The sequence below is a fragment of the Homo sapiens genome, chromosome 4, assembly GCF_000001405.40.
Source record: "Homo sapiens chromosome 4, GRCh38.p14 Primary Assembly".
Lineage (NCBI taxonomy): Eukaryota > Metazoa > Chordata > Mammalia > Primates > Hominidae > Homo > Homo sapiens.
Window position 1 is genome coordinate 110240699 of NC_000004.12, and position 12591 is coordinate 110253289.

At 40.8% G+C, this 12591-nt stretch overlaps 1 long non-coding RNA gene and 1 pseudogene across 2 annotated transcripts, besides 1 other annotated feature; one reads left to right on the forward strand and one right to left on the reverse strand.

The window, feature by feature from the left end:
• The first annotated feature begins 6355 nt into the window (after positions 1 to 6355).
• LOC124900759 (uncharacterized) lies at positions 6356 to 11866 on the forward strand. Of its 2 annotated transcripts, none has more exons than XR_007058229.1 (3): positions 6356 to 6480; positions 9934 to 10098; positions 11261 to 11866. It is a non-coding gene; the product is annotated as an uncharacterized LOC124900759 (long non-coding RNA). The 2 variants fall into 2 exon arrangements; XR_007058228.1 differs by lacking the exon at positions 6356 to 6480 and adding an exon at positions 9429 to 9657.
• Positions 8069 to 8483: a transcriptional cis regulatory region, noted in NCBI's record as "candidate enhancer chr4.2510 targeted for multiplex CRISPR interference". NCBI's record gives its function as "positively regulates ELOVL6 gene expression with high confidence in K562 cells {active_cell/tissue: K562}" and the evidence as "EXISTENCE:mutant phenotype evidence [ECO:0000015][PMID:30612741]".
• On the reverse strand, positions 10919 to 11428 carry HSBP1P2 (heat shock factor binding protein 1 pseudogene 2; annotated as a pseudogene).
• Positions 11867 to 12591: the final 725 nt, after the last annotated feature.

Genomic DNA, 12591 nt, shown 5'->3' on the forward strand with positions numbered 1-12591 from the left:
ACTTATGACAATTATAGAATGAAGGATGGGGGTGGTAAATGGATCTACACGGTGTAAGGTTTCTACATTTTACATGAAGTGGATATTAACTCTAGGTAGAGTGCAAAAAGTTAAAGATGTATATTTCAATCTTTACCATAACCACTAAAAATTAATGCAAAGAGTTTATAAGCCCATAGATTTAAGTGAAATTCTAAAATATATTTCAATAATCTAAAAGAAGTCAGAAAACATGAAACAAAAAAAACAAAGAACAGAGGGGACAAACAGAAAACAATAAAGTGGTCGATCTAAACCCAATCATGTTTATAATTATATTAGATGTTAATAATCTAAACACTCCAATTAAAAAGCAGTGATTGGCTGTGTGCAGTGGCTCATGTCTGTAATTCCAGCACTTTGGGAAACTGAGGAGGGTGTAACGCTTGAGCTCAGGAGTTTGAGCCCAACCTGGGCAACAAGGTAAAACCCTGTCTCTATAAATAATACAAAAATTAGCTGGGCGTGGTGGCATGCACCTGTAATCCCTGCTACTCAGGAGGCTGAGGTGGGAGAATCACTTGAGCCTGGGAGGTTGAAGCTGCAGTGAGCTGAGATTGCACCACTGCACTCCAACCTGGGAGACAGAGTGAGACCCTGTCTCAAAACAAACAAACGAACAACCAAAAAAACGCTAAAAAAGAGAGCAGTGATTATCAAAATGAATTAAGAAGCAATACTCAGCTATATGCTGTTTACCACAGATGCACTGTAAATATAAAGACACAGACATGTTGGAAGTAAACGTATAGAAAAAGGTATATCATGCATGTAGTAAACATACAAAGGATGGACTGGCTATATCAATATCAACCATGATAGGCTTCAAGACAAAGTATTATTAGAGGTAAAGGAGATTTCATAATAATAAAAGGGTCAATTCATTAGGAAGGCATAATGATCATACATTTACAGCACCTAATAATAGATTTGATCACAAAATGAAGCCCAACTGAATGCTATATACAATAAAAACTCATACAACAAAGTAATTTAGAAATATTAAAAATAAATTTTTAGACTGGGTATGGTGTCTCATGCCTATAATCCCAGCACTTTGGGAGACCAAGGCAGGAGGATGGCTGGAGCCCAGGAGTTCAAGACCAGCCTGGGCAACATGGGGAAACCCTGTCTCTACAAAAAAGACAAAAAAAAAAAATTGGCCGGGCATGGTGGCATGCACCTGTAGTCCCAGCTACTTGAGAAGCTGATGTGGGAAGATTACCTGAGCCTGCGGAGGTGGAGGCTGCAGTGAGCCGTGATCACACCACTGCACTCCAGCCTGGGTGACAGAATGAGACCCTGTCTCAAAAAACAAAATCTTTAATTTATCTTTATTAATTATTAACTTTATTTATTAAAAATAAATTAAATGTTTAAAATTATGAGACAAATATGAACAAAAAGAGTAGAGGTTGTGATCTTAATATTGACAAGGTGTAGTTCAGATTGAGACAAGGAGTATACTTTGTAATGCTAAAGAGTTTAGTGAAGATATAGAAGTTATGAAGATCTACGCATATAATAAAATAGCCACAACATTCACTCAGCCAACATTATAGGAAAAGAAAGGAGAACTAGACAGAAATATGTTAATGATGGCATACTTTAATCTCTCTCAGTTCAAAATATAACAATTAAAAAATAAGTAATGATATAAAATACCTAAATACCATATCAATAAAGTAAATTTGATTGATGTATATTGAAATCAGTGCCTAGAAAATAGAGCATATATATACCCATAATAAAGTCATAGCCCAGGCGCAGTGGATCATGCCTATAATCCTAGCACTTTGGGAGGCTGAGGCAGACAGATCACTTTAAGTCAGGAGTTCGGGACTAGCCTGGCCAACGTGGTGAAACCCTGTCTTTACTAACAATACAAAAATTAGCCAAGTGTAGTGGCACACGCCTGTAATCTCAGCTACTTGGGAGGTTGAGGCAGGAGAATCGCTTGAACCCAGAGGCAGAAGTTGCAGTGAGCCGGGATCATGCCACTACACCCCAGCCTGGGAGACAGAGCGAGACTCCATCTCAAAAGAAAAAAAAAAAAAAAGGGAATTCAAGACCAGCCTGGCCAGAATGGTGAAACTGTCTCTACTAAAAATACAAAAATTAGCCAGGGGTGGTGGTGCATGCCTGTTGTCCCAGCGACTGGGGAGTCTGAGGCAGGAGAATCGCTTGAACCCGGGAGGTGGAGTTTGCACTGAGCCGATTGTGCCACTGCACTCCAGCCTGGGTGACAGAGTGAGATTCTGTCTCAAAATAAATAAATAAATAAATAAATAAATAAATAAATAAATAGTAACAAAATATGATTACATATTAGACTTCCAAAAAATCTTCTATAAGTGCATTCTGGTAAGAAGAACAATATGCCCATGGAAAAAGGAAAATTTTGACACAATATTTAAAAAATATATCTTATAGAAAACATCCAAAAGAAATAAGATGAATTTTATAGAAAAATGGGCCATTCAGTGTGCAGTAAACAGTGTGGCATAAATAAGAGGTAAACACTATTCTTTTTTTTTATTTTTTGAGATTGAGACGAGGTCTTGCTATGTTGCCCAGGCTGGTCTTGAACTCCTGAGCTCAAGGGATCCTCCCATGTTGGCCTCCCAGAGTGCTGGCATTAGCCACCTCGCCCGGCCCCTGCATACCATTTTTGCACTATGTGTTTATACATGTTAGTATACTTTGCTACGTGATTTTAAAATATGACACTTGGTTTCACAACTAGTCTGTTTATAGCCTTGAATTCAGCACAATTCTAAGCAGAATTTCTATACTATAAAAACACTGTTCTGGCTGGACATGGTGGCTCACTCCTGTAATGCCAGCACTTTGGGAGGCTGAGGCCAGCAGATTATTTGAGGTCAGGAATTTGAGACCAGCCTGGCCAACATGGTGAAACCCCATCTCTACCAAAAATACAAAAATTGGCCAGGCTTGGTGGGGCACACCTGTAGTCCTAGCTACTCTGGAGACTGAGGCAGGAGAATCGCCTGAACCCAGGAGATGGAGGTTGCAGTTAGCCGAGATCGCGCCACTGCACTCCAGCCTGGGTTACAGAGCAAGACTCCATCTCAAATGAACAAACAAACAAACAAACAAAAATAAAATAAGAACAATGCTCTGGCAGGGCATATCAGTGAAGCAGAAATAGATACCTTCTTATAACTCACAGCTGCTCATCTGGGAATTCTTTTTAATTGTGGTGATATAAATAGACTAAGTAAGCCTTTTAAAATCTAAGCATTACAGGTTTCCCATAGAAACTGTTGCCTAAAAACTTTACCTATGTTTTCAGTAATTTTATTATTTATTTTTTCTTTTACTGAAGTTTAAATTAAAATTTTTTGTTTTTCTTTTGAGACAGTATCTCACTCTGTTGCCTGGGCTGGAGTGCCATAGCACAATCACAGCTCACTGTAGCCTCAACCTCCCAAGCTCAAGCAATTCTCCCATCTGAGCCTCCCAAGTAACTGGGACGACAAGCATGCATCACCATACCCAGCTAATTTTTGCTTTTTTTTTTTTTTTTTTTTTTGTAGAGACAGAGTTTTGCCATGTTGCCCAGGCTGGTCTCAAACTTCCAAGCTCAAGTGATCAGCCTGCCTCAGCCTCCCAGAGTGGTGGGATTACAGGTGTGAGCGACTGCACCCGACCACCTGGCTAGTTTTTAAATTTTTTGTAGAGACAGGGTTTTGCCATGTTTCTCAGGCTGGTCTTGAACTCCTGGGCTTAAGTGATCCACACACCTTGGCCTCCCAAAGTGCTGGAATTACAGGCATGAGCCACCATACCCAGCCCAAATGTCATTTTTCACAGTACTAGAAAAAAAATCCTAAAATTTGTATGGAACTAAAAAACAGCCTGAATAGCCAAAGCAATCACAGCTGAATATTTTAGTTGAAAGAAATGGCCATTGCCACAGGAAGAGATAGGGGTTACTTGGCTTGAGAAGGTTATTTTAAAAATTTTTATTTTAATTTTTCTTATTTTCTGAGATAGAGTCTCACTCTTATCACCCAGGCTGGAGTGCAGTGGCACAATCATAGCTCAATGTATCCTCAAACTTTTGGGCTCAAGTGATCCTCCTGCCTTGGCCTCCCAAAGTGTTGGGATTACAGGCATGAGCCACCGTGCCTGGCCCAGTTTGAGAAATTTAAAAGGGCCTCTGTTTCACCAAAGTTTAAAAAAAGAGATCTAGGATTTCTTGGTTTGTAAATCACTATGGTGGCTTAACTCCTCTGTTTAAAGATCACTTATCTTCAGAGTATTTCTTTTGAGGCAGCGTCTTGCTCTGTCACCCAGGCTGGAGTGCAGTGACGTGATCATAGCTCATTGCAGTTTTGAACCCCTGGGCTCAAGCTATTCTCCTGCCTCAGCCTCCCAAAGTGCTGGTATTACTGGTATGAACCACTTCGCACAGGCTTCTGAGTGTCTCTTAAGGGATGAGGGTTATATGTAAGATCTGATGTTGCTTTGCTTTAGATATCATGGTCAAATATAGAGGGCAGGCAGAGTTTAGCTGATATATACAAAAATGAAACATATGTCATCTCAATTTTTTTTAGATCATTTGCTATAAAGCTTCCATTGCATCCCTGTGTTTTGCACTTGAAAGGTAATGCTTCCCCATGTTATCAATCTTGTGCAAACTGCTTTTTTGATGGTACTATGAATCGATATTTCCAAGAGGTATTATTATTTTGATTTTAGGGTACTATCTGCGTTTCAAAAGACAAGATCCCAGAATGTCAAAAGATAGAGTATCATTGTTAACTGTTCTACCAGGTTTGGAGGCTCTGTGGGACATTAGGAAGAGCCTGCCTGGGTGTTAGATTCAAGCCATCTGAGTTCTTTTCTTTGTCGGGAGATTTAGCTGTGATAATTCGGTAGGTTGCTGAACTTCCTCCAAGCCTCAGTTTCCTCATAAAGAAAGTCAAGGCAGGTTTTACGACAAGGAAACAGATTCTGAGATGAAGACGGCTTCACAGAGTGGGAGGTTGGGCTAGAAAGGATCAGGTTACCTCATAACTCAGATTCTGACTCAGTTCTGATGTTCTCCACAAGAGTGTAATTTAGGTCATTTGCTTTTTATTTTCTTGAAAAAAGAAAAAAGCGCATATGTATGTATCCTTATCCAGTTTTTTAACCTCTCAATAGTACAAAATAAATTCATATTTTGACAATTTGCTAGGGTAAATACATATACATTGTTATTTGTATACTTCAGAAATTCATTTAGGAATTTTCCTTTTAAAACAAAGCACCCTTTCAATGAATAATTATACCTATATTATAGAAAGCTTAGAAACCATAGGCAAGCAGAAGACAGAAAAAGAATTTACGTTCATCCCTTTGAAGTTACTTTAGTGCATTTTTCTTGCAGGCTTTTTGCTTTGCAAAGAATTACATTATTGTAATATTTAGTAATTAGATTTTAGGAATAAATAAGTAGTAATTATAAATTGGCTGGGCACAGTGGCTCACGCCTGTAATCCCAGCACTTTGGGAGGCCGAGGTGGGCAGATCACGAGGTCAGGAGATCGAGACCATCCTGGCTAACATCACATGGTGAAACCCCATCTCTACTAAAAAATACAAAAAATTAGCCAGGAGTGGTGGCAGGCGCCTGTAGTCCCAGCTACTCGGGAGGCTGAGGCAGGAGAATGGCATGAACCCGGGAGGTGGAACTTGCAGTGAGCCAAGATCACGCCACTGCACTCTAGCCTGGGCGACAGAGCGAGACTCCGTCTCAAAAAAAAAATTCATTAATTAATTAAAAAAATAAAAAAACAAATTAAGTTCTTGCTAATTTTGTCTTTTCCTCCTTCTTATAATAAAAGGAATTTTTGCATATAAAAAAATCTGTGGAAAAATGCTGGGTGCAATGGCTCACGCCTTAATTCCAGCACTTTGAGAGGCCGAGGTGGGCAGATCACTTGTCAGGAGTTCCAGACCAGCCTGGCCAACATGGTGAACCTCCATCTCTACTAACAATGAAAAAATTAGCCGGGCATGGTGGTAGGTGCCTGCAATCCCAGCTACTAGGGAGGCTGAGGCAGGAGAATTGCTTGAACCCGGGAGGCAGAAATTGCAGTGAGCCGATGTCACGCCACTGCACTCCAGCCTGGACATCAGAGTGAGACCCTGTCTCAAAAAAAAAAAAAAAAAAAAATCTGTAGAGAAGTATAAAGAAGGGAAGGGGATAAAAAAATCATTCAGAATCCCATCCCACATTTTTCCCATGTCAATGGATAGCTGTGTTTAAAAATAAAACTTTTATATCTCATGCTTCCCCTTTCTTCACTTCTTTATCACATTCTTTTTTTTCCCTATGAGTTGCTGTTTTATAGTCCATTCTCCTGAACAGAAGGTAATAATTTCTGCTCCATGGAAGCAGGGATATTTCAGGAATCAACAAAGGTATGTGAAAATGATTTAAAGATTCCTAAATCGTATGCAAACATAATTTTCTCTTGCTCCCAGTTTTCTTTTTTTATAAAGCTCAGAATTTGGATGAGATGTTCTTCCCTGTGGTTGTTCTGGTTTAGAGTCTGCACCCCTCTTTGTTAACTGGTTAGCTCATATTTCCACCAGGTCCCCTTTCCTCTCTGTGTCTACATAGAATAAATTATCAAGTATTATGGTGTGAAATAGAATTTTGTGATAAAAACTAAGCATCAAAATAATATTACAATAAAACAAACTTTTGTATCTTGTGGATATTGTTATATTTCCTTAACTGTAGTTTTGTTTTTTGAATTATGTTATTTTACCTTGCTATATATTAAGTTTGCTTGAGATTTTCAGCTAAATTCCCTGAGATGAGCTAGTCTTTGCTGTTCAGCCAGGTTTGGAGGTTGTGTGAAACGGGTCTAAAGATCACACCACCTGAGGTCTATTTCCTTTTTTTTTTTTTAAGACGGGGTCTGGCTCTGTCACCCAGGCTGGAGAGCAGTGGCACAGTCATGGCTCATTGCAGCCTCAACCTCCCAGGCCAAAGCCATCCTCCCACTTCAACCTCCAAAGTAGCTGGGACCACAGGCATGCGCAACCATGCCTGGCTAATTTTTTTTTTTTTTTTGTGGAGATTAGATCTCCTTATGTTGCTTTGCCTTGGCCTCCCAAAGCATGGGGATTACCTGTGCCAGCCACTGTGCCTGGTCTTGAGATCTGTTTCTCAAGTATTATGCCACATAGCTTAGAGGTGGAGGTGGGGCAGACAGCCTAGGGGGCTGACATTTCATCTGCACTTCATTCTCTAAGCAGCACATACTTTGCAGATGTCTTTTTCTAATTTCCACGAGAGTGCCCTATGGGCTAGCAGTGACCATGGCTGGGTTGTTGAGGGGGAGGCAGAAGGTCAGTGTGGTCCTTGATGTCATCTGCTGACACTGGCATCCCTTGGAATAGCTGTCATCCTGTCTGGTCCTAAGATGATAAACCATGCAATTGCCTAGACGATCCACATTCCCATTTCCACAGGCCCTTTCTTTTCATCACTCTGTACTGCTTTGTGCTTCTCTGGGGGTGGGGAAGGCATGGAAATTACCCTGCTCTCATGCTGTTCAGGGCACAGGGAAGCTTCTGCCATTGTGTCTGGTACCATCTGCCCAGGCACACTATGCAGTCATTTCTCTTCAGAGCCTCTGCCTGAGCAATGGGGCCAGGTTTTTATTTCTTCCAGAGACTACCGGCCTATCTAGGGGTTTTGACTCCATCCTCGACCTCAGCCAGTCGTGAGCGGTGCAAGATTAAACAGGTCCACGCATGTGTGTGTCTTTCCACAATGTCAGGCTTTTATTAATGCTATTCCAGTCCACGAGCTACATGGAGTTCCCAAGGAGGCAATTCTTAGTACTTCCTGTTCACTCTGTAGTCAGAGCCATGGGCACACAGACTCAAGCCACTCCACAAGTCAGTCAATATTGCAAACCATATATAATAGTATATTTCATCAATATAGAAATGTTTTAGGTTAAACATTCCATGACAAACAAAGTAACATTTAACATCAAGAGGAAAAAGAGATAGGAGAAAGGATTAATGAACCAGTCCAGTGGGAGCTAAGAAGACAAGAGTCCTGGTCACACCCTGGGGTCCCTTTGGTCTCGAAAGAAGAGTTTTTGAGGTGGCAGAGCCTTCGGTGGCAGGTGCCAAATTCTTATCACAAGTGACTGCAAGACAGTCAGTTAAGACAGCTGTTTTCGAGCTGGAGAAGGTCTAATCCTTTACAGTCACAGAGTTCTCTGGCAAGAACTGATAGTGGAAGAGTACACTTGTTTACATCCTTATCTGGTTGCCAGCAGTCTTTTTTTAATTTGTTTGTTAAACAGAACATCTTATCCTTGTTGGCAAAGTGCTCTATGAAATATAAAATGGAGTCCTTTTTCTTCTTCTTTGAGACGGAGTCTCAATCTGTTGCCCAGTGAGTGCAGTGGCACAACCTCAGCTCACTGCAACCTCCGCCTCCTGGGGTTCAAGTGATTCTCCTGCTTCAGCCTCCTGAGTAGCTGGGATTATAGGCGCCTGCCACCACGACTGGCTAATTTTTGTATTTTTAGTAGAGATGGGGTTTTGCCATCTTTGCCAGGCTTGTCTTGAACTCCTGGCCTCATGATCCACCCATGTCGGCCTCCCAAAGTGCTGGGATTACAGGCATGAACCACCATGCCCAACCAAAATGAAGTCTTTTTCTAAGATGGAATTAGTTATGTCAACTACACAGCCCAAGAGCTGGAGGCAAGTTTCCTCTTTTTGGGACCCATTAGACTCTCTGTTACCACTTCTCTGTTTCCATTGAAGTAAGATAAACTCTTCCTCAAGGCTGAGGACTCTTTTCTAGTCTAGAGGCTGAAGACTGGAGAGAGAAGGGGTAAGACTGGGACATTTCCCTTTTACTCATGTGTTTTCCTCAATATACTGTATGTAGCATGGCTTCTTTTTGACCTCTAAAGCACTTAAGTTTTATTTTTTCATTTTTTATTTTATTTTTAGTTTTCTTCTGCTCACACATCCCAACTGCCTGACCTACGTTTTAAAATCCCAATTCAAGAATAAACTCCTTTAAAGTTTGTTATCTGCTGACACATCCTTCTTCCCAGTCAAGGAACACAGAACAATCCATCTGTCTGAGTGGTGGTGGTGGTTTGTGGGTGAGGAGGCAAAGGGCAGGCTGGAGAAGAAGATACCACCATCCCGCCCATGCATGGGGTATGCGGGTATGGCAGTGCCTTAAGATTTAAAAATATTTAATACATATATTTTTTCTTGTGCTTTTTTCTTTTTTTAAGTCTTAACTGATGCCTTTAAAGGAGTATTTCCTCTATTTAAATAATGTAAGAACCCTTGTAAAATGAAGATCATTCGGCATATCCCTGGGGATGAATCAGATTCATTGAACTGCGATTGTGCAACTGTGCTTTCAGGCAGAGAGTGCTCAAAGGGTAGAACGGCTCTTTTGGAATTCTCAGATATATTTGGCCAGGTTTACCTAGAGGAGAACACGTTGTTTTTAATGAAAGGGATTTAAAGTCACAGTGCACCTTAAGGTGATGACTTTCTGAATGGATGCTCTTTCATGAGACCCAAGTTGCGAGGGTGAGTGCAGGATTGTTTCCTCTTGGAGGAACCCTGATAATCTCTTTGCCTCTCTTTCCTTGAGATGCTTTTCCTTCCATGAAATTTCATGGAGGTGAGGACAAGTCAGCTTGGAGATCATCGTCTTCCTCTTTTGGGCTGTCTCTTTATTCTCTCTTTGGAATCAATCACTTCTAGTAATCCAGAAAATTGGGGAAAGGCTGGGGTGTTTCTTATTGGGAAGAAAGTTTTTTTTTGCATGTGTGTGAGAATGTTTTTCCTTTTTTTTTTTTGCAGTATAATTTACATGCAGTGATATGTACAAATCTTCAGTGAATGGGTTGATGAATGTTTGCCTATGTATACCTACATGTAATCACTACTCAGATCAAAATAGACAACCTGTTCACGACACTGAAAAGTTTTCTAGAGCCCCTTTTCAGTCAAGACCCATTCCTCCAGGTAACTACTATTTTGATTTCTGTCATCTCTTGGGTGGGCTCTTTGGCCTTGTGTGGGTTTCTTCTCTTCTAACAGCTGGTGAGGTAAGCTGGCCCTGCTATTCCCCAGGCCTGAGAAGAAAGAAGCCAGTCTCTGGGAATTATTTAGAAAATTCCAGCCCTCCTCTTCTGTCTTTCAGAACAGAACTTTTTGTTGGATAAGCTTTTTGTTGCTGCTGTTTTTTGGTGGATGGGCTTTTCCTTCTGGAGTGGAAAAGTCTGAGGCTCAAATGCTTAGGGAGAAAGAGCCAAAGTAGGTCCTTTGGCGTGTTTTGGTTCTAGGCTGCACTTGGTTGTCTGAGACAAATTATTTCTCCAAATAGCCCATGCTAATTTATCAATAATAATGCTTTTACTATTTTTCACAATCTACATTCTTCCACTCAATAATATTAATACCCTATCTACTATAATCTATGGCTGGCAATGATGATGTGGATTTAGGTTGTAATAGATGTAATATATGCTTTGACTTGAAAAATGCTGTTAGGGATGTGTAGGTGCTGAGATGTAAGCACTATAATGCTTATATTTTGTTCTGAAGATTTCTTTAAGGATTTCTAAACTCACTGGTTGAAGGGCTGAAACACATGAGACACTGGGGTTGAAGAAGCCTAGCCTAGCAGACACTTAATTTATTCCAACCCCAGTCTTGATGGAGGTTGATGCAAGCTGTTGAAGAAAGGACAAGACTTGACCCAAGCACCTGAGGGTGGCCTCCAGTTGGGTCAAAGAAGAATAGGAATTTGGGAAAGTAAAACTGTGTTTTTTTTTGTGTGTTTTTTTTCAGGAACCAGCAAAGTTTTAATGTTTAATCGTTAATAGCAAAATTGACCAAGGTCCAAGATGTGAAGATACTATGTTTAAGAAACTGGGGGGTAAATCACTCTATAGACTAACTATATAGTATGTGATAAGAATGCACACTTTTTATAAAACCTGTATACACATAGTAGTTAGCTGCAAAAACCCATTCAATCTTCTCTTGGCTTGGAAAAATGGTGTTCCAGATTTCAGTATAAATTATTAGCAACCTTCACCTCTTGTGTGGCAGGTATCTTGTTTTTACTTTCCAGTTCTTCCACCCCAGCCTGTGTCATGAGATCTGCGATGTTCTTTTCCAGATCATCAGTGCAACTACTCATATCATCAGTTCTCCCAATGATCTGGTCAGACATGGTCTGAAATTTATCTTGGATCTGCTGCAGGAGTTTCTGCACCACTGAGGTGAGTTCCTGCTCATTCTTGGGGTCAGTCTCGGCTATATCCCTGGTGCCCATCTAGGTAGTGATTGTAAAACATTTTTTTAACCTATTCTGGGACCTTAAGTTCTTTGTGTAAAATGGAAGGAGATATGTAATGAGGGGGCTATTAATTTATTTCAGGAACAAGTATAGACTTGCTAGTGGGAAGATCCATCTTCTAAAATTTATAGGGTATTGGCCAAGTTCAGGAATTTCACAGTGCTCTCTATGTTGGGATTTTTGGGTTATGTTCTTATGTAATCCACGTTGCATGACCCTTCTAGTAAGTTTGATGAGACAACGTAGCACAGCTTAATTTGATTTTTCTAAGTAGCCGGCATGAGTTTTCTCTAGGTTGTTTACCAATAGACTCTGTGTATATGGACAAGATTTTTTGGTTAGGCAGACTTTACTTTTTGCAGGAGGAGCCTTTAATCTGGGGACATGGAATGTCCAAATACCAGAATGGGGAGGACTTCACTCTGTGGCCTCTTCCCATCCTAGAGGTCTTATTCCCTCTAAGTAATCTATTTTTTTTTTTTTTTTTTAGAGACAAGATCTCATCCTGTCACCCAAGCTGGAGTGCAGTGGCACAATCATAGCTCACTGCAGCCTCCAAACTCCTAGGCTCAAGCAATTTTCTCTCTTCAGCTTCCTGAGTAGCTAAGACGACAGGCTCAGGCCACCAAACCCAGCTAAATTTTAAAAACAAGTTGGTTTTGAACTCCTGACCTCAAGCAATCCTCCTACCTTGGTCTCCCAAAGTTCTGGGATTATAGGCATGAGCCACTGTGCCCTGCCCCTGTGGGTAATTTTTACAATTCTTATTAATATTTATTTTTTTTATTTACTTGTTTATTTATTTATTTATTTTTGAGACAGAGTCTCACTCTGTTGCCCAGGCTGGAGTGCAGTGGCACGATCTTGGCTCACTGCCACCTCCGCCTCCCGGGTTCAAGGAATTCTGCCTCTGCCTCCTGAGTAGCTGGGATTACAGGCGCCCGCCATCACGCCCGGCTAATTTTTTGTATTTTTAGTAGAGAAGGGGTTTCACCATCTTGGCCAGGCTGGTCTTGAACTCTGACCTTGTGAACCACCCGCCTCAGCCTCCCAAAGTGCTGGGATTACAGACGTGAGCCATCATGCCTGGCCTAATTATTATTATTCTTTGAGACAGTATCTCTCACACTGTCATCCAGGCTGTAGTGCAG